General features: G+C 39.2%; 1 long non-coding RNA gene across 1 annotated transcript in view; it reads right to left on the reverse strand.

The window, feature by feature from the left end:
• Window positions 1–23,953, reverse strand: part of LOC107986298 (uncharacterized) — a 75,213-nt gene extending 51,260 nt beyond the window's left edge. Inside the window, exon 1 of the long non-coding RNA XR_001741784.2 lies at window positions 23,750–23,953. This is a non-coding gene — a long non-coding RNA (uncharacterized LOC107986298). The remainder of the gene's footprint in view (window positions 1–23,749) is intronic.
• Between the last annotated feature and the right edge of the window lie 3,306 nt (window positions 23,954–27,259).

The raw sequence follows: 27,259 nt of genomic DNA on the forward strand, positions 1-27,259 counted from the left end.
GGAAATATAGAATAATGTAACACTATAATAGTACATAAATTACTTTTTACCCTAATATAAAAGTTAAAAGATGGCTGGGCCCAGTGGCTCACACCTGTAATACCAGCACTTTGGGAGGCTGAGGCAGGCAGATCATGAGGTCAGGAAATTAAGACCATCCTGGCCAACATGGTGAAACCCCATCTCTACTAAAAATACCAAAATTAGCTGGGCATGGTGGCACATGCCTGTAATCCCAGCTACTTGGGAGGCTGAGGCAGGAGAATCGCTTAAACCAAGGGAGTTGGAGGTTGCAGTGAGCTGAGATCACGCCACTGCACTCCAGCCTGGTGACAGAGCAAGACTTTGTCTAAAACACACACACACACACACACACACACACAATTGTTAATGGATACACACTATAAAGATAATTAAACACTGAATTCAAGGACACAAAGGTTGGGGAGAATGGCGTTTTTGTATGAGATTGAAGTTAGTATCAGCTTGAAATAGACAGTTGTAACTATAAGATGCTTTATGCAAGCCCAAAACATAATCAAATCACAAGGGAAGACAGAAAGAGAGGGAGAAATGAATACAGAGCAACAAAATAACCAGAAACAGTTATCAGACTGGCAATAGTAAGCCTTTACCTATTGATAATTACTTTAACTGTACATAGACTTAACCTCCCCAGTCAAAAGACATAGAGTAACTGAATGGATTTAAAAAGAAGATTCAACTGTATGTTGTCTACAAGAGACTCACTTCAGATTTAAGGACACACATAGGCTGAAAGTGAAGCAATGGAAAAAGATATTCCATGCATATGTTAATTAAAAGAGAGCAAGGATGGCTATACTCATGCCAGATGAAATAGACTTTAAGTAAAAAACTGTAACTAGAGACAAAAAAGACCATTATATAATGATGAAAGGGCCAACTGAACAAGAAGATACAATTATAAATATATACACATCCAACATCAGTGTACCTAGATATATAAAAGCAAATATTGATCTATCTAAAGAGAGAAATGGACAGTAATACAATAACAGTAGGAGACTTCAACACCCTGCTTTCAATAATGGATACAACATCTGCACAGAAAATCAATTAAAATAAAAACAGGTGACTTGAACAACACTATGGACCAGATGGACCTAACAGACAACTATAGAACTTTCCATCCAACAGAAGAATATACATTCTTCTCATGTGTACACAAAACATTCTCCAGGATAGATCATACATTGAGTAACAAAACAAGTCTTAACAAATGTAAAAAAAATGGAAATCATACCAAACATCTTTTCTAACCACAATGGAATGAAACTAGAAATCAAAAACGGTAAGAAAATGAAAAAATTCACAAATATGGGAAAACAAAACAATACACTCTAATAAAGATTGGGTCAAAGAAGAAATCAAAGGGAAATTCAAGAAATATCTTTGGACAAATAAAAACCTAAACACAACATACTAAAATGTAGGGGATGCAGTAAAAGCTGTGTTATGAGAGGAGTTTATAGTGATAAATGCATACGTTAAAGGAGAAAGATCTCAAATAAACAGCCTGACTTTATACCTCAAGAGACCAGGCAGAACAAACCAAACTAAGCTCAAAGTTAGTGGAGGAAAGGAAATAATAAAGATTACAGCAGAAATAAATAGAAAATAGAAAAGCAATAGAAAAATCAACAAAACCAAGAGTTGATTTTTTAGAAAGATAAAATCAACAAACCCTCAACTAAACTAAGAAAAAAAAGAAGACAAGAGGTTCCAAGACGGCCGAATAGGAAAAGCTCCAGTCTACAGCTCCCAGTGTGAGCAACACAGAAGACGGGTGATTTCTGCATTTCCAACTGAGGTACCGGGTTCATTTCACTGGGGCTTGTCGGACAGTGGGTGCAGCCCACGGAGCAGGGCGGGGCATCACCTCACCTGGGAAGCGCAAGGGGTCGGGGAATTCCCTTTCCTAGACAAGGGAAGCCGTGACAGATGGTACCTGGAAAATCGGGACACTCCCACCCCAATACTGCGCTTTTCCAACTGTCTTAGCAAACGGCACACCAGGAGATTATATCCCGCACCTGGTTCAGAGGGTCCCACGCCCACAGAGCCTCGCTCACTGCTAGCACAGCAGTCTGAGATTGAACTGCAAGGCTGGGGGAAGGGCGTCCGCCATTGCTGAGGCTTGAGTAGGTAAACAAAGTGGCCTGGAAGCTCGAACTGGGTGGAGCCCACCGCAGCTCAAGGAGGCCTGCCTGCCTCTGTAGACTCCACCTCTGGGGACAGGGAATAGCTGAACAAAAGGCAGCAGAAACTTCTACAGACTTTAACGTCCCTGTCTGACAGCTTTGAAAAGAGTAGTGGTTCTCCCAGCACAGAGTTTGAGATCTGAGAATGGACAGACTGCCTCCTCAAGTGGGTCCCTGACCCTCGAGTAGCCTAACTGGGAGATACCTACCAGTAAGGGCTTACTGACACCTCATACAGCCGGGTGCCCCTCTGAGACAAAGCTTCCACAGGAAGGTTCAAGCAGCAACATTTGCTGTTCTGCAGCCTCTGGTGGTGCCACCCAGGCAAACAGGATCTGGAGTGGACCCTCAGCAAACTCCAACAGACATGCAGCTGAGGGTTCTGACTGTTAGAAAGAAAACTAACAAACAGAAAGGACATCCACACCAAAATCCCATCTGTATTCACCATCATCAAGGACCAAAGGTAGATAAAACCACAAAGATGGGGAGAAACCAGAGAAGAAAAGCTGAAAATTCTAAAAATCAGAGCACCTCTTCTCCTCCAAAGGAACACAGCTCCTCGTCAGCAACGGAACAAAGCTGGACAGAGAATGACTTTGATGAATTGAGAGAAGAAGGCTTCAGATGATTGGTAATAACAAACTTCTCCAAGCTAAAGGGAATGTTCGAACCCATTGCAAAGAAGCTAAAAACCTTGAAAAAATATTACATGAATGGCTAACTAGAATAAACAGTGTAGAGAAGACCTTAAATGACCTGATGGAGCTAAAAACCATGGCACAAGAACTACGTGACGCATGTACAAGCTTCAGTAGCCGATTCGATCAACTGGAAGAAAGGGTATCAGTGATTGAAGAGCAAATGAATGAAATGAAGCGAGAAGAGAAGTTTAGAGAAAAAAGTGTAAAAAGAAACAAACAAAGCCTCCAAGAAATATGGGACGAGGTAAAAAGACCAAATCTACGTCTGACTGGTGTACCTGAAAGTGACGGGGAGAATGGAACCAAGTTGGAAAACACTCTGCAGGATATTATCTAGGAGAACTTCCCCAACCTAGCAAGGCAGGCCAACATTCAAATTCAGGAAATACAGACAATGCTACAAAGATACTCCTCGAGAAGAGCAACTCCAAGACACACAATTGTCAGGTTCACCAAAGTTGAAATGAAGGAAAAAATGTTAAGGGCAGCCAGAGAGAAAGGTCGGGTTATCCTCAAAGGGAAGCCCATCAGAATAACAACGACTCTCTCGGCAGAAACTCTACAAGCCAGAAGAGAGTGGGGGCCAATATTCAACATTCTTAAAGAAAAAAATTTTCAATGCAGAATTTCATATCCAGCCAAACTAAGTTTCATAAGTGAAGGAGAAATAAAATCCTTTACCAGACAAGCTAATGCTAAGAGATTTTGTCACCACCAGGCCTGCCTTACAAGTGCTCCTAAAGGAAGCACTAAACATGGAAAGGAATAACAGGTACCAGCCACTGCAAAAATACGCCAAATTGTAAAGACCATCGCTGGTAGGAAGAAACTGCATCAACTAACGAGCAAAATAACTAGCTAACATCATAATGATAAGATCAAATTCACACATAACAATATTAACCTTTAACGTAAATGGGCTAAATGCCCCAATTAAAAGACACAGACTGGCAAATTGGATAAAGAGTCAAGACCCATCAGTGTGCTGTATTCAGGAGACCCATCTCACGTGCGGAGACACACATAGGCTCAAAATAAAGGGATGGAGGAAGATCTACCAAGCAAATGGAAAAAAAAAAAAAGCAGCAATTCCAATCCTAGTCTCTGATAAAACAGACTTTAAACCAACAAAGATCAAAAGAGACAAAGAAGGCCATTACGTAATGGTAAAGGGATCAATTCAACAAGAAGAGCTAACTATCCTAAATATATATGCACCCAATGCAGGAGCACCCATTTTCATAAAGCAAGTCCTTAGAGACCTACAAAGAGACTTAGACTCCCACACAATAATAATGGGAGACTTTAACACCCCACTGTCAACATTAGACAGATCAACGAGACAGGAAGTTAACAAGGATATCCAGGAATTGAACTCAGCTCTGCACCAAGTGGACCTAATAGACATCTATAGAACTCTCCAACCCAAGTCAACAGAGTATACATTCTTCTCAGTACCACATTGCACTTATTCCAAAATTGACCACGTAGTTGGAAGTAAAGCACTCCTCAGCAAATGTAAAAGAACAGAAATTATAACAAACTGTCTCTCAGACCACAGTGCAATCAAACTAGAACTCAGGATTAAGAAACTAACTCAAAACCGCTCAACTACATGGAAACTGAACAACCTGCTCCTGAATGACGACTGGGTACATAACAAAATGAAGGCAGAAATAAAGATGTTCCTTGAAACCAATGAGAACAAAGACACAACATACCAGAATCTTTGGGACACATTTAAAGCAGTGTGTAAAGGGAAATTTATAGCACTAAATGCCCACAAGAGAAAGCAGGAAAGATCTAAACTTGACACCCTAACATCACAATTAAAAGAACTAGCGAAGCAAGAGCAAACACATTCAAAAGCTAGCAGAAGGCAAGAAATAACAGATCAGACCAGAACTGAAGGAGATACAGGCACAAAAATCCCTTCAAAAAATTGATGAATCCAGGAGCTGATTTTTTGAAAAGATCAACAAAATAGATAGAACGCTAGCAAGACTAATAAAGAAGAAAAGAGAGAAGAATCAAATAGATGCAATAAAAAATGATAAAGGGGATATCACCACCGATTCCACAGAAATACAAACTACCATCAGAGAATACTATAAACACCTCTACACAAATAAACTAGAAAATCTAGAAGAAATGGATAAATTCCTGGACACATACACCCTCCCAAGACTAAACCAGGAAGAAGTTGAATCCCTGAATAGACCAATAACAGGTTCTGAAATTGAGGCAATAATTAATAGCCTACCAATCAAAAAAGGCCAGGACCAGGCGGATTCATAGCCAAATTCTACCAGAGGTACAAAGAGGAGCTGTTACCATTCCTGCTGAACCTATTCCAATCAATAGAAAAAGAGGGAATCCTCCCTAACTCGTTTTATGAGGCCAGCATCATACTGATACCAAAGCCTGGCAGAGAGACAACAAAAAAAGAGAATTTTAGACCAATATCCCTGATGAACATCGAGGCAAAAATCCTCAATAAAATACTGGCAAACCGAATCTAGCAGCACATCAAAAAGCTTATCCACCATGATCAAGTTGGCTTCATCCCTGGGATGCAAGGCTGCTTCAATATACACAAATCAAGAAATGTAATCCATCATATAAACAGAACCAAAGACCAAAATCAGATGATTGTCTCAATAGATGCAGAAAAGGCCTTCAACAAAATTCAACAGCCCTTCATGCTAAAAACTCTCAATAAACTAGATATTGATGGGACACATCTCAAAATAATAAGAGTTATTTCTGACAAACCCACAGCCAATATCATACTGAATGGGCAAAAACTGGAAGCATTCTCTTGGCACAAGACAGGGATGCCCTCTCTCACCACTTCTATTCAACATAGTGTTGGAAGTTCTGGCCAGGGCAATCAGGCAGGAGAAAGAAATAAATGGTACTCAATTAGGAAAAGAGGAACTCAAATCATCCCTGTTTGCAGATTATATGATTGTATATTTAGAAAACCCCATAGTCTCAGCCCAAAATCTCCTTAGGCTGATAAGCACCTTTAGCAAAGTCTCTGGATACAAAATCAATGTGCAAAAATCACAAGCATTCTTATACACCAATAACAGACAAACAGAGAGCCAAATCATGAGTGAACTCCCATTCACAATTGCCTCAAAGAGAATAAAATACCTAGGAATCCAACTTACAAGGGATGTGAAGGACCTCTTCAAGGAGAATTACAAACCACTGCTCAACGAAATAAAAGACGACACAAACAAATGGAAGAATGTTCCATGCTCATGGATAGGAAGAATCAATATAGTGAAAATGGCCATACTGCCCAAGGTAATTTATAGATTCAATGACATCCCCATCCAGCTACCAATGACTTTCTTCACAGAATTGGAAAAAACTACTTTAAAGTTCATATGGAACCAAAAAACAGCCCACAATGGCAAGACAATCCTAAGCCAAAAGAACAAAGCTGGAAGCATCATGCTACCTGACTTCAAACTATACTACAAGGCTACAGTAACCAAAACAGCATGGTATTGGTACCAAAACAGAGATATAGACCAATGGAACAGAACAGAGCCCTCAGAAATAATACCACACATCTCCAACCATCTGATCTTTGACAAACCTGACAAAAACAAGAAGTGGGGAAGGATTCCTTATTTAATAAATGGTGCTGGGAAAACTGGCTAGCCATATGTAGAAAGCTGAAACTGTATCCCTTCCTTACACCTTATACAAAAATTAATGCAAGATGGATTAGAGACTTAAATGTTAGACCTAAAACCATAAAAACCCTAGAAGAAAACCTAGGCAATACCATTCAGGACATAGACATGGGCAATGACTTCATGACTCAAACACCAAAAGCAATGGCAACAAATGCCAAAATTGACAAATGAGATCTAATTAAACTAAAGAGCTTCTGCACAGCAAAAGAAACTACCATCAGAGTGAACAGGCAACCTAGAGAATGGGAGAAAATTTTTACAATCTACCCATCTGACAAAGGGCTAATATCCAGAATCTACAAAGAACTTAAACAAATTTACAAGAAAAAAATCAAACAACCCCATCAAAAAGTGGGTGAAGGATATGAACAGACACTTCTCAAAAGAAGACATTTATGCAGCCATGAGACACATGAAAAAATGCTCATCATCACTGGCCATCAGACAAATGCAAATCAAAACCAAATGCAAATCAGTGAGATACCATCTCACACCAGTTAGAATGGCGATCACTAAAAAGTCAGGAAACAACAGGTGCTGGAAAGGATGTGGAGAAATAGGAACACTTTTACACTGTTGGTGGGACTGTAAACTAGTTCAACCATTGTGGAAGACAGTGTGGCGATTCCTCAAGGATCTAGAACTAGAAATATCATTTGACCCAGCCATCCCATTACTGGGTATATACCCAAAGGATTATAAATCATGCTGCTATAAAGACACATCAACACATATGTTTATTGCAGCACTATTCACAATAGCAAAGACTTGGAACCAACCCAAATGTCCATCAATGATAGACTGGATTAAGAAAATGTGGCACATATACAACATGGAATACTATGCAGCCATAAAAAAGGATGAGTTCATGTCCTTTGCAGGGACATGGATGAAGCTGGAAACTATCATTCTGAACAAACTATCACAAGGACAGAAAACCAAACACCGCATATTCTCACTCATAGGTGGGAATTGAACAATGAGAACACTTGGACACGGTGGGGAACATCACACACTGGGGCTTGTCATGGGGTAGGGGGAGGGGGGAGGGATAGCATTAGGAGATACACCTAATGTAAATGATGAGTTAACAGGTGCAGCACACCAACATGGGACATGTATACATATGTAACAAACCTGCATGTTGTGCACATGTACCCCAGAACTTAAAGTATAATAAAAAAAAATTGAACTATAAAAAAAAGACAAATCAGAAATAAGAAAGAAGACATTACAATGGATGACTCAGAAATTAAAAGGTTATAAGAGACAACTTATGAACAACTATACAGCAACAAATTGGATAACCTAGAAGAAACAGAAAATCCCTAGTAACATACAACCTGCCAAAACTAAATTAAGAAGAAATTAAATTCTGAAAATAAATAAGAACATTGAATCAGTAATCAAATACCTCCTAACAAAGAAAAGCCCAGGACCATGGCTTTTTCTAACATTCAGAGAAGAACTAATACCAATCCCTCTTAAACTCCTTAAAAAATAGAATAGGGAACACGTTCATACTCACTTTAAAGGCCAGCATCACCCCAATACGAAAGCCAAAGATATCAAAAGAAAAGAAAACCATAGGCCAACATCACTGATGAACATAGCCATAAAAATCCTCAATGTAATACCAGCAAACCAAATTCAACAGCATATTTAAAAGATCATACACCACGAACAAGTGGGATTTATCTCTGGAATGCAAGAATGGTTCAGTATATGCAAATCAATCAATGCCATATACTACATTAACAGAATGACATGTAAAAAACCACATGATCATCTTAATAGATAACAGAAAAAGCATTTGACAAAATTTGACATCCTTTCATGATAAAAAACTTTCAACAATATAGGTATAGAAGGAACATACCTCAACACAGTAAAAGCCATATATGTAAAGGTCACAGCTAACGTCATAATCAATGGAGAAAAACTGAAAGCTTTTCCTCTAAGATCTGATACAAGGAAGGGATGCCCACTTTTACCACTATTATCAATATAATGTTGGAAAACCTAACCAAAACAACTAGACAGAAAAAAGAAATAAAAAGGCATCCAAGTTGAAGAGGAAGAAATAAAATTATCTCTGCAGATGACAAGATTATTTACACATGGCTAGGCATGGTGGCTCATGCCTGTAATTCCAGCACTTTGGGAGGACAAGGAAGGCAGATCACTTGAGGTCAGGAGTTCAAGACCAGTGTGGCCAACATGGTGAAACCCTGCCTCTACTAAAAATACAAAAATTAACCAGGCGTGGTGGCAGGTGCCTGTAATCCCAGGTACTAGGGAGGTTGAAGCAGGAGAAATGCTTGAACCCGGGAGGCAAAGGTTGCAGGGAGCCGAGATCGCGCCACTGCACTCCAGCCTGGGCGACAGAGTGAGACCCTGTCTCAAAAAAAAAAAAAAAGAAAATATTATTTACACATGTAAAAAACCCTAAAGGCTCAACAAAAAAATCTGTTAGAACTAATTAGCAAATTCAATAAAGTTGCAAGATATAAAATCAACATAAAAAATTCAGCAGTGTTTCTATACACTAACAATAAATTATCCAAAAAGGAAATAGGCAAACATTCCCATATATAATAGCAGCAAAAAGAATAAAATACATAGAAATAAACTTAAAGAGGGGAAAGACTTGTACACTCAAAAGTACAAAACAATGATGAAGGAAATTAAAGAAGATTAGATAAATGGAAGGACATCCCATGTTTGTGAATTAGTGTTTATACTATCCAAAATGATCTACAGATTCAATGCAATCCCTAACAAATTTCAAACAGCACTCCCTACACACGCATAGAGAAAAACAATTCATGTGGAACTTCAAAAGACCCCAAACAGCCAAAGCAATCTTGCTTGGTTTTTTTTTTTTTTTTTTTTTTTTTTTAAGACAGGGTCTTGCTCTGTCACCCAGGTTGGAGTGTGGTGGCGCAAACATGGCTCACTCCAGCCTTGGGGCTCAAGTGATCCTTCCCCCCCACCCCCCCACCCCCCTGAATAGCTGGAACTACAGATGCACATTACCACACCCAGCTAATTTTTGTATTTTGTGTGTGTGTGTAGAGATGGAGATTTGACATGTTGCCCAGGTTGAAAGCAATCTTGAGAAAGAATAATAAAGCTGGCGACATCACACTTCCTGATTTCAAAAGATATTTCAAAGCTACAGTAACCTAAGTGCGATGGTACTGACATAAAAACAGACATATAGATTAACGGAACAGAATAGAGAGCCCATAAATAAATCCATGCATTCACAGTCAATCTTCACTAGAGTGCCAAGAGCACACAATGGTGAAAGGATAGTCTCTTCAATAACTAATGTTGGGAAAACTGGATATTCACAGGCAAAAGAATGAAATTAGACCCTCATCTGACACCATAAACAAAAATAAACTCAAAATGGATTAAAAACTTAAACATAAGACTCAGAACCGTAAAACTACTAGAAGAAAGCATAGGGAAAAAGCTTTCTGACATTTGTCTTGGCAATAATATGTTTGAATAAGATAGCAAGAGTACAGGCAACAAAAGCAAAAATAGACAAGTAGAATCACATCAAATTAAAAAACTGCTGCCCAGCAAAGAAAAAAAAATCACAGAGTTAAATAACAACCTATGGAATGGGAGAAAATATTTGTAAACCATATATCTTACAAGGAGTTAATATCCAAAATATATAAGGAACTCACACGAGTCAATAGCAAAAGCAAATAATCCAATTATAAAATGGGCAAAGGACCTAAATAGGCATTTCTAGAAAGAAGATATACAAATGGCCAACAGGTATATGTAATGGTGCTCAACATCACTAATCATCAGGGAAATGCAGATGAAAACCCAATGAAACATCACCTCATAACTATCAGGATGGCTATTAATCAAAAAGACAAGAGATTAAAAGTGTTGACAAAGATGCAGGAAAAAGGGAACCCTTGTACAGTGTTCATGAGAATTTATATTGGGACAGCCTTTATCAAAAACAGTATACAGGGTCCTCAAAAAATAAAAAATAGAACGACCATATTATCTAGCAATCCCTCTTTTGGGATATACCCACAGAAATGGAAATCAAGATTAAGATCTTGAAGATTTATCTGCACTCCCATGTTCACTGCAGCATTATTCACAACAGCTAAGATATGAAAAGAGTGTAAGTATCCACTGATGGATGAATGGATAAAAGAAAATGTGGTGTACACACACACACACACACACACACACACACACACAATGGAATATTATTCAGCCTCAGGAAAGAATGAAATTTTGCCATTTGCAACAACATGGATGAACCTGGAGGATATTATGCTAAATGAAATAAGGCAGACACAGAAAAACAAATACTGCTTGATCCCATTGATGTGTGAAACCTAAAATAGTCGCACTCATAGAATTATAAAGCGAATGGTGGTTGCCAGGGGCAGTAGGGAGGGAGAAACGGTAATGCTGGTCAAAGGATAAAAAGTTTCAATATGCAGGATGAATACGTTCTACAGATCTAATGTACAGCCTGGTGGCTATGATTAACAATATTCCTTACTTGAAATTTTCTAAGAAGTAGATCTTAAATGTTTTTGCCACAAAAAAAGATAATAATAAAAGAAGAAAAAGAAAATGGTAACTTGGTGAGGTGATAGATATGTTAATTGGTTTGATTGTGAAGACCATTTCACAATGTATACATACATCAAAACATCAAGTTGTATACCTTAAATATGTACAATTTTTATCCATCAATGTTCTTCAATAAGGCTGTTTAAAGAAAAAAAGAAAAAATCCAACTCTTAAAAAAATAATAGAATCAATCAGAAAACTAAAACAGCATACACTTAATGACATAAAAATAGAAAACTCTTGTATTCCAAAAAACGGCTGGCAAATCATGAAAAAATGTTTGTATCAGCCTTGCCAAAAATTCAATATCCTTAATATATAAAGTGCTTATAAGTCAGTGCTTATAAATCCATATATACTATAATATATAGTATCTTTAATATTTTCATATACTATAGCATAGTATTTCTTCTAGTGAACTGTAAGTGCTATAATTCAGTAGTAGAATACCCTAATTTTAAAAACAGGCAAAAGATACAAATTATTGTGTTAAACTTTTAAGTTCAGGGGTACATGTGCAGGTTTGTTACATAGGATAACTGTGTCATGGTGATACAGGAGTTAAGAAGAAATCACTTAGGCAGATAGTGAGGGTACAGAAGTCCTCGGTAAGGCTTTTCTCTTTAATGAAAAGCAGCCCCAAATCATTGTCTAACAAAGAGCAGCCTGTAAAGTCAAGCGGCAGACATAGACGAGGAAGCTGGGAGCTTGCATGGGTGAATGCTGGCAGGAACTAGGGGCTAGACATGTTTAAGATGGCAGCTTCATCTTCCCTTCTCTGCCAGCCATGTGTACAGTAAGAAGCAGACAAGATGGCTCAGATCAACTGGAAAGCCCATTTGCATAATAAGATTAGGGTGAGACAACCGGCCTTTCCCCATCTGCTATGTAAATGTCATACCTGATCGAACCTATCTGTGAACCCTTTGTAAATCAGACACTGCCTCCTCAAACCTGACTATAAAATTCAATGCCACCTGCAGGTCTTTTCCATTCAGGGACCCCACTCTCTCTATAGAGAAAGCTGTTTCTCTTTCTCTTCTCTTCTGCCTATTAAACCTCCACTCCTAAACTCCTCTTGTTTGTCCATGTCTTAACATTTTCCTGGTGCACGACCATGAACCCCAGGGTATATACCCCAGACAACATAGTCACTTCTATGGGGGTTTATTGTACAGATTATTTCATCACCCAGGTATTAAACCTAGTACCCATTAGTGATTTTTCCTGATCCTCTCCCTCCTCCCACCCTCCACCTTGAGATAGGCCCCAGTGTGTGTTGTTCCCCTCTATGTGTCCATGTGTTCTTATCATTTAGCTCCCACTTATAAGTGAGAGCATGAGGTATTTGGTTTTCTGTTCCTGCATTAGTTTGCTAAGGATAATGGCCTCCAGCTCCATCCACATCCCTGTGAAGGATATGATCTCATTCTTTTTTATGGCTGCATAGTATTCCATGTTGTATATGTACCACATTTTCTTTACCCAGTCTATCATTGATGGGCATTTAGATTGACTCCATGTTTTTGCTATTGTGAATAGTGCTGCAATGAACATGTGTGCATGTGTCTTTATAATATAATGATTTATATTCCTTTGGGTATATATCCAGTAATAGATTGCTGGCTCAAAAAGTAGTTCTGTCTTTAGGTCTCTGAGGAATCACCACACTGTCTTCCACAATGGTTGAACTAATTTACACTCCCATCAACAATGTATAAGCATTCCTTTTTCTCCACAACCTCACTAGCATCTGTTATTTTTTTATTTTCTTAACAGCCAATCTTACTGGTGTGAAATGGTTTCTCACTGTGGTTTTGATTTGCATTTCTCTAATGATTAGCGATACTGAGCTTTTTTATATAATTGTTGGCCACATGTATGTCTTCTTTTGAGAAGTGTCTGTTCATATCCTTTGCCCACTTTTTAATGAGATTGTTTGTTTTTTCTTGTAAATTTGTTTAAGTTCCTTATAGACTTTTGATATCAGACCTTTGTTGAATGTAGTTTGCAAAATTTTTCTCCCATTCTGTGGGTTGTCTGTTTACTCTGTTGATAGTCTCTTTTGCTGTATAGAACCTCTTTAGTTTAATTAGATCCCATTTGTCAATTTTTGCTTTTGTTGCAATTGCTTTTGGTATGTTTATCATGAAATCTTTGCCAGTGCCTATGTCCTGAATGGTATTGCCTAGGTTATCTTCTAGAGTTTTTATAGTTTTGGGTTTTACATTTAAGTCTTTAATCCATCTTGAGTTAATTTTTGAGATATAATTTTTTTTTTGAGACAGTCTCTCTCTGTCACCCAGGCTGGAGTGCAGTGGCTCAAACTCGATTCACTGCAACCTCCACCTCCTAGGTTCAAGCAATTCTTGTGCCTCAGCCTCCCGAGTAACTGGGATTACAGGCACGTGCCACCACCCCCAGCTAATTTTTATATTTTTAGTAGAGACAAGGTTTCACCCTGTTGGCCAGACTGGTCTCGAACTCCTGGCCTCAAGTGATCCACCTGCCTCAGCCTCCAAAGTGCTGGGATTACAGGCATCAGCCACCATGCCTGGCCAAAAATTTTTAGGAATACAAATGGCCAATAATATAAAACATTTTTCAAATTCATTGAAATGGAACTATTACAGTGAGACACCATTTTTAACCATTGAATTTTAAAGATATTTTTGAAAAAGGAAAATACTAAGTATTGATAAGAGAGAAGCAGTCATACATTGCTGTTGGCAATACAGACTGGAACCACATATCTGGAGAAAATTTAAGAATATGTACCAAGATTCTAATTATTCCTAAATGCACAGTGGCATCCTAGATTGAATCCTGGAACAGAATACTGACTTTAGTGGAAAAACTGGTGAACTCAAATAACATCTGTAGTTTAGTTAATAGTATCATACCAATGTTAATTTCTTAGTTTTGACAAATGAACCATGGTTATGTAAGATGTCAAAATTAGTAGAGGTTGGGTGAAGGAAATATAAGAACTTTGGACCATTTTTGCAATTTTTCTGTAACTTAAAATCATCCCCAAATTTTAAAAATTAGGCATTTATGTCATTTAGCCCAATAAATTCTACTCTAAGATACTAACTATGGGAGATAATCAGATGAAAAATAGTTTGGGATACGTTATTCATTGCAGTGATATATTTGAGAGCAATGGAGAAGAGAAATGGAAAGAAAAGAAAAAAAGGGATAAAAAATCCACATGCTCAACACTATGGTCAATGGAATACCCACCCTCATCCATGCACAAAACAATTATGAGGCCTGTTCTAGATGTTGGGGCACAGCAGTGAACAAAAGAAAAATCTGTGATGTAAGAAGCTTAATTCCTGGCCAGGCATTGTGGCTCATGCCTGTAATCCCAGCACTTTGGGAGGCAGAGGTAGGTGGATCGCTTGATGTCAGGAGTTCGAGACCAGCTTGGCTAACATGGTGAAACCCTGTCTTTACTAAAAATACAAAAAATTAGCTGGGCGTGGTGTCAGGCACCTGCAATCCCAGCTACTCGAGAGGCAGAGGCAGGAGAATTGCTTGAACCCCAGGAGGTGGAGGTGACAGTGAGCAGAGATTGCACCACCACTCTCCAGCCTGGGTGACAGAGTGAGACTCCATCTCAAAAGAAAAAAAAAAGAAGAGGCTTAATTCCTGAAAGGGGAAAAAAAGTTGAATGGATAAGAGAAACAAAATGTGTAGCATGTTAGTGATAAGTGTTAAGAAATAAAACTAGCAAGGGGATACAAAATGTCAGGGAGAGGTTACAATTTTAGGTGGCGAGACCAGGGAAGGTGGCCTCACTGGGAGGGTGATTTTTAAGTGAACAGCCAAGGAATTGAGGTGTGAGCCCTGTAGATATCTAGGAAAGGAACACCCCAGGCAGAGGGAACAGCAAGTCCAAAGCCCTCATAGTGAGCGTGTGCCTGCAAGGTCTGAGGAACAGCAGCAGGGAAACAGCACAGCTGAAGCAGAGTGAATGGACAAAAGAGAGTAGCGGATAGTGGTGCGGGGGAGTGCGTGGGGTAAAGACTTGCTCTTATCTGAATAAAATGGGAGCTATGGGAGAGTTTTTAGCAGAGAAGGGACATGATCTGACTTACAATGTATATGTTTGATTTTTGTTTTACTCTTAATTCTTTTCTACATTTCTCAAATTTTCTATAACGAACATCTATTCCTTGAAAAAATAAAGGAACAATGTCCTACCAGATTGCGATAGCTTGCCTGGAAACAATTGAGTTATTTCTTTCTTTTTTTTTTTCTGAGACAGGGTCTCACTCTGTCATCCAGGCTGGAGTGTCGTGGCGCGATCATGGCTCACAGCAGCCTGGACATCCTGGGCTGGAGCGAGCCTCCCACCTCTGTCTCTTGAAGACCTAGGACCATAGGCATGCACCAATGTGCCCAGCTAATTTTTGTACTTTTTTTTAGATGGGGCGGGGGGGGGGAGGGTCTCACCATGTTGCCCAGGCTGGTCTTGAATCCATGGGCTCAAACGATCCTCCCACCTTGGCCTCCCAATGTGCTAGGATTACAGGCATGAACCACCATTGAGTTATTTCTTATTGAGTTATTTCTTATAGCACAGAGCCTATTTGGTTCATGATACTTTAATACTCATCTGTAAAATGAAAGCCTCAATAGCTCTTACTAAAGCATACTAAGAATGTTTAATTGAAAACATCTTTAGTCTAGGCCGGGTGCGGTGGCTCATGCCTGTAATCCCAGCACTTTGGGAGGCTGAGACGGGTGGATCACTTGAGGTCAGGAGTTCCAGACCAGCCTGGCCAGCACAGTGAAACCCCATCTCTACTAAAAATACAAAAATTAGCCAGGCATGGTGGTACACACCTGTAGTCCCAGCTACTCAGGAGGCTGAGGCAGGAGAATCGCTTGAACTCGGGAGTCAGAGGTGGCAGTGAGCCGAGATTGCACCATGGCACTCCAGCCTGGGTGACAGAGCGAGACTCCATCTCAAAAAAACAAAAAAAAAAAGAAGAAGAAGAAGAAAACTTTTAGTCTAAAATGATGATATGCTAGAGTTTAATTACAGAATTTTAGAACTAAAAGGGAGTTTAGAGATTATCTAATTTAGTCTCCTAGTAGATGAACTAAAGGAGACTAAAATCTATGTTCTGACCCCTGGTCTAATTTCACCATATTAAAAAAAAAAAAGAGAGAGAGAGAGAGAGAGTAAGAGAGATATATTGAGAGTAAGCTGCCAAATCTTAAGGACCTACCAAAAACAATCGCAGGTAGGATTCTTACTTCATATTGTTTCAAGCACCTACGTTAAATGGTATTATTTTTAAATATACATAAATGTAAAGCTATTCACTTATTCATTCAAGAAATATGTTGAATGGTTAGTATATGCCAAACACTGTTAAAATATTTAAGATGAAGAATTTTGAAGATTTTTTTTTCTGTCTCAAAGAAAAAAATCTTAAAGGCAAAAGTTACATTGGAGGCTGGGTGCAGTGGCTCACGCCTGTAATACCAACACTTTGGGAGGCTAAGGTGAGCAGATTACCTGAGGTCAGGAGTTCGAGACCAGCCTGGCCAAAATGGTGAAACTCTGTCTCTACTAAAAATACAAAAAAAAAAATTAGCCGGGCATGGTGCTACACGCTTGTAGTCCCAGCTACTTGGGAGGCTGAGGCAGGAGAATCGCTTGAACCCAGGAGGCAGAGGTTGCAGTGAGCCAAGATAGCTCACTGCACTCCAGCCTGGGCAACAGAGCAAGACTCTATCTCAAAAAAAAAAAAAGTTACATTGGTTGTTAAATAATTTTCCCTGGGGGCCTGGGATTAATGTAATACCATTTAGCTGTATATCTGTATATGCTGTATATTCTTTCTGCCCTATTAATAAGAAACGTAATTGTAGGAAAAACAATAAAGGCTTGCTCCTCTCAGGAAACATCTGACCAGGTACACAAAGATAAGTTGGAGACAGAAACTCCTAAGGGACCACAACTCAAGCCTGTGGTGGGAGTTACTGCATGAAATGGCATTGTTTTTAAATAGCCATAAATTTCAAGCTATTCACTTATTCATTCAAAAAATATGTTGAATGGTTAGTATATGCCAACACTGTTAAAATCTTTAAGATGAAGAATTTTCCCTAAATGCACCTCAGTATAACTCTGAACATAGTGAAACTACCTTTGCAGAATTGTTAAGTAATGAGAGAAATCTAACATGACTGACTGTCTTGCTTTTAACCTCAACCTCACAGGCTCTTCTCTTTTCCTCTCCTCTTTTTCTTTTCTCTTTTTTCTTTCTTTTTGTTGTTGTTTATTCTAGCATGGAGGCCAAGATAATATGAAGGGAATTTAGTTTATAGTTAAACTTTGAAGCAAGGAAAACTGAATCCCCTCTTGCTGGAGACTAATGCTGCATTCATAACACAAGATTAGAATTATGGTTGGGGCTTGAACCTTGCTAAAGAATAAGCATGGTTAAACAATAACCTACTGCTGCTTAGCTTGCTTTTCTATACATTGCTTTCTGCTCCAAAGTCACATGAGAGGTCATAAGATTTGTAACTCCCCAGCTACTCCTATAGATAACATAACTATTGTGAAACCTAAAGAACTGGTCTTTAAGATATTTTTCAGATTTAGCATTTCAACAAAGAGATACCACTTGGTTCTGAGAACACCCTTTCCCCCTTCCCTGGGAAGACTTAGCTGTGTGAAGACAATTTAGACACCTCTGTGATTTCATCTTCAGCCAATCAATTGTTTCAGTTTCCCCACTACCTGCCTACCAATTTACCCTTAAAAACTTTACCCTCTGAATTATTGGAGAGACAGATTTGAGAAATTTCTCCCATTCCCCTCATTTGTCTGGCCCCACAATAATTAAACTCTTTCTTTGCTGCAATACTTGCTGTTCTCAGTGCATTGGTTTTTCTGAGCAGCAGGCAAGAAGAACCTGTCAGTCTATGACAACGATGGGACAATGAGGACTGAACCAGGAGTGTGGCACACTTCAGACCCAAGTCCTGCCCCTGCTTATAACTAGCTATGTGATCTCTTTGGTCTGTTTCTTCATCTATCAAAGATTAGAAAGATGATCTCTCAGATCTCTGTGTAGCTTTATTATTCCATTGTTACACCCTCCCTGCTGAGCATCTTGGCTGTGTCTGTAAACTAATAATCTAATGTCTCCGTTGTCCCCCAACTGCCATTTCCTCTGAAGCTCTCAGATGTAAGGAGTTAAAAAGTCTCTGGGTAACTCTCTCCTCTCTGCCTTTCTGCTACTTACCTACAGTGGCATGTCCAGGAGTAAATATAGATGGTGGAAAGAGGACTGCACTGGAAAACAAGGCACCTGGGCTGGAGCCCTGGTTCTGCAACTGCCTCTCTGTGTAACTTTTGGTAAGCACTCAACTTTCTTGGGCCTTAATTTTCCCTGCTGCCACAGACTAGAGTTCTTCTAGATCCATGGTTCTCATCTATGGCAGTATTTTAGAACCACTTGGGGTGTTTGATAAAAATACTGATGCCTAGATTTCACCCCAGGCCAATTAAATCAGAACCTTACCAGGGTTAGGCCTGAGCAGAAATAATTGCAAAAAGTGGCCAACGCTAAATAAAATTTATTTGTAAAAGCAAAGGGCCAAGAATAGTCAAAACAATCATGGTAGCAGATGTCAAGACTCCTTATAAAACTACAATAAGCAAGGCAGGGTAGCACTGGCACGAAGACAAATAGACCAATAGACCTACACACATAAGAGCACCTGATTTGTCACAAAGATGCCCCTGCAGTATGCTGGGGGAAAGAGTGGAAATTTCAATAAATGGTGCATATTAACTGCCTATCAGTAAAGGAATAAATGAACCCTGACTCCCTATCTCACACCATGTCTTAAAAACAATTCCTGACGGGTGATAGACCTACAAGTGAAAAGTAAAACACAGCATAGAAAATAACATAAAAATAACACAGAAAAGTCTCTTTACCATCTTGGGCTTGTGTGGTAGCCAGAGTCCAAGATGGCCCCTGATGATTCTTTATATGGTTCCCTCCCACACTGAATAACACTGACTTGTATAACCACTAGGCTATTGCAGAAATGATGTGCAGCTTTTGAAGCTAGGTCATAAAAAAACATTGTGGTTCCTGCCTTGCTCTTTTGGGTCACTTGCTCCAAGGGAAGCCAGCTGCTGTCACATGAGGACACACAAGCAGCCCTGTGGAGATGCTTACGTGACAAGGCACCAAGGCCTCCTGCTAACAGCCAGTAAGAATATGGTACATCCTGTCAACAGCCATGTACCATATGTGAGCAAGCCATCTCGAAAACAGACATTCCTGTTCCTGTCGAGCCTTTAGATGATTGCAGACTTAGACAACATTTTGACTATAGTTTCATGAAGAACCATTAGCTACAGCCACCCAGCTAAGTCACCCCTGATTCCTTGATCAAAACAAAGTGTGAGATTTTTTTTTTCTTTTTTTGACCACAAAGCTGTGGTAATTTGTCACACAGTAATATGGTTTGGCTGTGTCCCCACCCAAATCTCATCTTGAACTGTAGTTCCCATAATCCCCACGTGTCATGGGATGGACCTGGTGGGAGGTAACTGAATCATGGGGGCAGTTACCCCATGCTGTTCTCATGATAGTGAGTTCTCACAAGATCTCATGGTTTTATAAGGGGCTTTCCCCCCTTTTCTTGGCACTTCTCTTTCCTGCTGCCTTGTGAGGAAAGCGCCTTGCTTCCCCTTCACCTTCTGCCATGATTGTAAGTTTCCTGAGGCCTCCCCAGCCATCTGGAACTGTGAATCAATTAAACCTCTTTTCTTTATAAATTACCCAGTCTCAATTATTTCTTCATAGCAGCGGGAGAACAGACTAATACACAGGGTAATAGAGAACTAATGCATACTTCACTCAGCTGCCAGATTACTCTCTTTAAGGTACGGTTGTGCCCAGACCTTGGTTTCTAATACCATTTCCACTCAGAGGAACCAGAGCTTCTAAATGAAAATGGCTGTTTCTGGAGCTAGGTCAGAAGAGGTACAAGATGAGCCTTGTTATGTCCAAAAATCAGGAAGTGAGAAGATGGTGAGGAATCAAGAAGTGAGAAGATAGTGGGGAAATGTCACAAAGGAACCATCTTGGAGAGATTCCCACTGGCCAAATCTGGTTCAATTGGAAAATCAAAATAATTAAATAAATACAGTAATGAATTATATACCTTTGGAAAGACTAAGAATTCATGAGTACATATTGAAAATAAGTCTCTGAGTTGGTTCGGTGACCAGGGTCATACTTCCCAATACTTCACTCTTTCCACACAGAGAAATGAAGCACAACTCCAATAACAGGGTGAGGGTGCAAGTCAGGGACCACAGAAGTCACTACTGGGCTCCTGAAAGCCCAAGGCCACATTTGGGAAACGATCTGCACTTCTGGCAAAAGTGCAAGAGGGGCAGTGGTGGCCCCAGAAGAAATATTTTAATAAAGAAGATACACGAATGGCTAATAAGCACATAAAAATGCTCAACATCATTAGTAATTAGGGAAGAGAATTAAGTGTACCTTTTCACACACACTAGGATGGCTATAACAGATAAACAGAAAATAACAAGTGTTGGTGAAGATGTGGAGAAAAAGGAACTCATATATTGCTGGTGGTTATAAAATTTGTGTAGTCATTTTGGAAACAGTTTTGTAGTTTCTCAAAAAGTTAAACACAAAACTACCCAAGAGAAATGAAAATGTACGTCCAAGCTGGGTGCAGTGGTACATGTCTGTAATTCCAGCTACTCAGAAAGCTGAGGTGAGAGGACTGCTTGAGAGGAGTTGGAGACCAGCCTGGCCAACATAGCAAGACTCCTTGCTTGTGAATGTTCATAGCAGCATTATTCATAATTCCAAACTGGAACCAACCTCAATGTCTATCAACTGCTAAATGTATAGACAAAACTGGTAAAGCCATACAATGGAATACTATTCAGCAATAAAAAGTAACTAACAGCTGATACACGGTACATCATAAGGCCCCTTGAACTGAGGCATCAAATGCAAGAAGAGGTGGAAGCTATTTGAGTGAGGTGGGGGGGCAGGAAATAATAGGCTCAAATTTTGATAAGTTACGTTTGAAGTATCTGATAAGTATTTGAAGTATCAAGGAGAGGTGAGCAATAAACAATTAAAAATGGATGTTTGTGTTTGAGAAACAAGATTCTGCATGCCGGAAATCAGATGGTATAAACATATGACTCTTACAGTCTTCAGGTAGAACCATTGGGAATCACTGTGGGAAACTTGCAGCTCTGGGGTTTATTAGTAAGAATGTCCAAATATATTAATTGGCCTAATTTTTATGATAATATTACTATAACAGCAAAAGCTCCAAATCTAAACGTAGATAATGTTTACTGGAGAACATCTCCCTCCTTTTTTCCCCTCTAGAAGCAGGGGTACTGTCTAACAAGTATGGAATTGTGAAAAGCATGAGAGCCTTGAGGTCAGAGTGGGATAAAATCTGAGCCTGGTCAGTTATTACGTGAGCTACATTTAATAAATGGTTGAAATGCTCCAAACCTGTTTCTTCATTTTAGATGAGGATAGCACGAAAGCCTGAGGGTTGTTATGAAAAGGCAAAACAGCATGTAGTCAAGAACACGACCCCTGAAAACAAACTGTCCTGAATTTGAAGTCTGCCAGTGCCATTCATTAGCTGTGTGGCCTTGGCTAAGTTTCTGAACCTTTTTGGGCCTCAACGTTCTTACCCGTAAAAGATGGGTACCCTTAGCACCTACCACATAGGGTTATTGTGAGAATTTAATGAATGAATTCACATGTAGTACCCAGAATGGTGTAAAAATAGCAATGGGCTCAATAAATGCTGATATTACATGCAAAACCATTTAACCTAACTGAGTGGTATATAAAAATTGCTCAAAGGGATGGCCATCATTATTATCATTGTTTTTAAGGCTAGTGAATGGTTAGTTTTCATTGCATAAAACTTCATACCTGGAAATCCTAAGAAAACAAATCAGAAGGTATAATTTATGTGAAAGGCCACATTCTGTAGGTGGTTCCCCCCTTGGGTAGTAATGAATGTGTACTGCATGGTTCTCATTGTCCAACTTAGTGAGTCTTATGATCTCATGCAAGCATTTTGGAGACTGCTGGCTGAGGTTAGAAAAATAGTTCATTCTCAATAATTCAGAAATCCTTCCCTTCCCATAAAATAGAAAAAGAATCCTGACCTATACTCAATGAAACCCCAGAGCCACTAATACTTATGGTAAAATAGGCTATTGTCACCCTCTGTGTGCAAAATCTGTGTTTGGGGTGAAATGAACATTTCATCTCCTTAGCAAGAGTCCAAATAAATTCTCACCCAGATTGCAGAATATGCCTAAAACCCTGAATCAAGATTGCATAAGCTGTACTACACATCACCTTCTTTTTTCCAAAGGCAGCATTTTATACAAATGTTTGTTTTGCGTGTGTTTTGACTACTTCGATCCCAGGAATCCTATGCTTCGCAGTTTCTAGACTTTAATTTCAACTCGTTATTTTGGAAGGCCATAATGCTCTGTAAGTGGAATAAAGGTTTTCTAAGTAGAGGAGAAAATGGAGGTAGAAAGCACCTGGTATTACAACAACTGCTAGCATGATGAGAAAAACCAAGATATTTAAGGTCTGCCAGGATAAATTTTTTTTCTAAAAGCTCAAGAGCACAGAATTACTTGATAAGTTATTCAGTATTATTAGAGATTTTACTTTATATGTCTTATAAGTCATCCTGAGAGCATGTTTCAGTTTGCCATACAAATACATGATCATTCCCTTCTGAACTAATGATGTCTTAATTATGCAAATCATATGATTATTTCCTTGAAAACTCTGCTGACAAGAGTGGCAATGTCACCCATCTTTAATTTTGCAGTAGGTAAGCTTTTGATTGAACTTTCTGGACTTTGCTGTCATGCCACCCTGAGCAGCCACAGCCTCTGGTTTTCTGCCATATGAAATTTTTAAATTGCTCAACAAAACAGGAGAGGCAACATTAATTTTTCACTTTTTATCCATAAGCCAGAAATTATTAATTTCTCACAAATAGAAGGAAAATCCCAACTTACTCAATGAATCCCAACCCCAAATGCTCCTGGCTGTTAAAAAATCCTGTGCTTGGGTCGATGCATCTATCACCTGACAGTGTCAGTACTGTGTCAGCTCGACTCTCTCTGCCTGCCTACTTCATAAAGCTTGAAGACCAGAAAAGCATTGATATTTTTTGCCCACCACTGCTCTGTTGGAGGCAAAGGACCTACTTTACGCACTGCTTCTGCTGCACTCAGAGCCCACCATCATGTATGTTGTTAGATAATGCTTCTTTGATGTCTATTTTTTAAGTACTATAATTATCCATTTATAGTACAAAAATAAAAGTAGTCATTACTTACTCTGTTCTCTGTGCCAGCCCTTTCCTTTGCCAAAGCACTTGCTGTCTCTGAGTTGGTTTGGTGACCAGGGTCATATTTCCCAATACTTCACTCTTTCCACACAGAGAAATGAAGCACAACTCCAATAATAGGGTGAGGGTGCAAGTCAGGGACCACAGAAGTCACTACTGGGCTCCTGAAAACCCAAGGCCACATTTGGGAAATGATTTGCACTTCTGGCAAAAGAAGAATGATTCTATTGTAACTGTCATCTGATCAGCACTAGGCAGGAGGAGGGGCAGTGGTGGCCCTCCCACTTTAGAAGATGGTAAGTGGTGTTAGACTATTAGTAGAAAACAGCTGGAATGTTGTTTGTCCAACTATTTCTTTTGAGAGATGACATTGGAGCCAAAGGAGGGTGTTTGTAGAAGGTCATACGGCACACTAGTGACTATGCCAGGACACTGAATTCTGGCTACAGTGCTCCTTTCTTTACATCACTTTTTGTTTTGTTTTGTTTGAGACAGGGTCTCACGCTATCACCCAGGCTGGAGTGCAGTGGCATGATCACAGCTGACTGTTGCCTTGACCTTCCTGGACTCAGGTGATCCTCCCATTGCAGCCTCCCTAGTAGCTGGGACTACAGGCAAGCACCACCATGTCCAGCTAATTTTTTTTTTTTTTTTGTAGAAACAGGGTTTTACCATGTTGCCCAGGCTGGTCTCAAACTCCTGGGCCCAAGTGATCTGTCCACCTTGGCCTCTCAAAGTGCTGGGATTATAGGCATGAGCCACTGCACCTGGCCACATCACATCTTTACATACTATAGATACCTCAGATTTGAGAATTGTTAAAAAAAAAATACTGCAGCAGTATTGTGGACTGAATGTTTGTGTCCTCTCAAAATTCTTATGTTGAATCCTAATGTGAAGATATCTGGAGGTGAGCCTTAGGGAGGTGATTAGGTCATGAGGGCAGGCTCTCATGAATGGGATTAGACCTTATAAAAGAGACCCCAGAGAGCTAGCTCCCTTGTCCCTTCTATCACGTGAGGTTACAATGAGAAGGAGTCATCTGTGAACCAGGAAGGAGGATGAATCTGCTTGTGCCTTGATCTGGACTTCCAAGCCTCCAGAATTGTGAGAAATAAATTTCTATTGTTTATAACCCACCAAACTAGTGGTATTTTGTTATAGCATCCCAAGTAGACTAAGACAAGTGGCTATTTTTTCTTTCCCAAGGAAAATAATTACAGATCTGAAAATGTACCATTCTGAAGCATCACTGCTGTCCATTACACACAAATTTCATTAAAAAATATATGACAACACTGTAATTAGACTATGTTCGGCCTTGGATTGACACAAGTTGTAAATGAGGACTAAAAACCCACCTAATCATCCTCCCAATCTATCATCCTAGCTTCATCTCTAACCACACCTAATTCCTCACCCCCTTTTCCTGTTGCTTTAATTTCTCATGCTTCTGCCTTTGAATTTGTTGCTTCCTCTGAAGCAAATTCTCTGTTCTTCATAAATTGACTCATGCTTCAAGTTACTAAGTTTGTCTATGCAATCTTCATTTTTCATTTATACCCTATAGGTTTTTGCATTTGCTACAGTCTAGCACTTAACAGATTTTATTATTTGAACCTAACACTTTCTCTTCAGCCAGTAGTGATCTCCCAAGCCTAACATGGGGCTCAACAACAGTGCTTTCTGAAATTTTTTTTACAGAATTATATATAAAGATGAGATCAAAGCAAAAAAAAAGTGAACACAGGATCCACTATGACAGTTACTTCTAGTAGGCGGAGGACTTCTTTGATGTTCGTGGGTCTTTATTATATACTATTAAATTAAATATGGCCTAAAGTTCTCTCCATACGTAGTAAACTGTAACCTATCTTAATATGTAAACAAACTACAATCTAACTTGAGAGTATATTCTTGTAACAAGTAGCTAGGTCTCAGCCAATCATAGCAACTGAGATTTCAGCCAATTACAGGCTGCAACTGCTCAGACCATGATAAAATAAGGCAGATAAACAGTTGTAACAAATCAGGTTATTTCTATATGTCACTTTCTTTTTCTGTCTATAAATACTACCTATCCACTATTGCTGGGTGAAGCTCTCTGAATTGTTACTGGTTCAAGGTGCTACCCAATTCATGAACCACTTCTTTGCTCAAATAAACTCTACTAAATTTTATTTGTCTAAAGTATTTATTTTAATAGATTGGTGTCAGAAGTGGGACCCAAAGCAGACCTCCAGGGACACACAGGAGCACGGTATGGCCAAGTGAAGGTACCCACCAGGGATTATGTGCCCACTCATCTCTCACAGCAACTGGGATCATGGCAGAGTTCTCTCTTAAATTCAAGCTCTATGAATTTTTGTTTTGACCTCTCTGACTTTATTTGAGCAATTTTAGTGGAGTGGATCTGGGATGTGATTGGATCTAAGTAACTGAATTGGATCCAGTCAGAGGCTTGAGGTCAGTATCTTTTGAAAATAGGTTTCTCCAAATTAAAAAAAAAAAAAAAAAGTCTGGGATTCCAGCCAGGCACTCATGCCTGTAATCCCAGCACTTTGGGAGGCTGAGGCATGCAGATCACCTGAGGTTAGGAGTTCGAGACCAGCCTGCCCAATATGGTGAAACCATATCTCTACTAAAATTATAAAAATTAGCCAGGCATGGTGGCAGGCGACTTTAATCCCAGCTACCTGGGAGGCTAAGGCAGGAGAATCACTTGAACCCAGGAGGCAGAGGTTGCAGTGAGCCTAGATTGTGCCACTACACTTCAGCCTAGGTGACAGTGCAAAACTCCCTCAAAAAAAAAAAAAAAAGAAAAGAAAAGAAAAAGAAAAGTCTGGGATTCCAAGAATCTGGGACTCCACTTTTTGGTATGCCAGCTAACTTTATGCACAAAAATTATGGGCCTAGAACCTGTGAGTTTTTGAAAAAAATGTCCCTTACTAGGACAACTTAGAATTATAGTTGTTACAATGGGGAAATTTTAACATACATAAAATTGTTCATTTGCAGGGGCATTAAAAAAAGAATCCAAAATGCCACAAAGCAATGGGATATATTTTTAAATTGGTATGTACAGGCATCTAAAGCAGCAAATAAAGCAAAGATTGCCTCTTTATAAGGTTGCTTACAGAAAACAAATGAAAAAAATCTTAAATATCTTTTTCACAAATACTATTTAAAAGCTTTACCCATGGGGGCAGGAAATCTTATTCTATTGGCCAGGAAAACAATTCTGGTTCAGATATTTTTTAATAAATTACTGAGTTTTATATTATTGTGCACCTGGCAAATGGCTAAAAATTTTAAATGAAAGCTATAGAAGATCTGTATCTGCTTATACGTTTATGGACAGATCTGTATGTATGACACATGTGTGATATTTTTGTATCTCCTTATGATATTGCCAAAATTGAATTGAAAAAGTGCTCTATTTATTTGGGTTTTTCAAAAATAAGTGCTAATATAAATGAAGTATTCACTCAGAAAATTA

The sequence above is a fragment of the Homo sapiens genome, chromosome 4, assembly GCF_000001405.40.
Source record: "Homo sapiens chromosome 4, GRCh38.p14 Primary Assembly".
Lineage (NCBI taxonomy): Eukaryota > Metazoa > Chordata > Mammalia > Primates > Hominidae > Homo > Homo sapiens.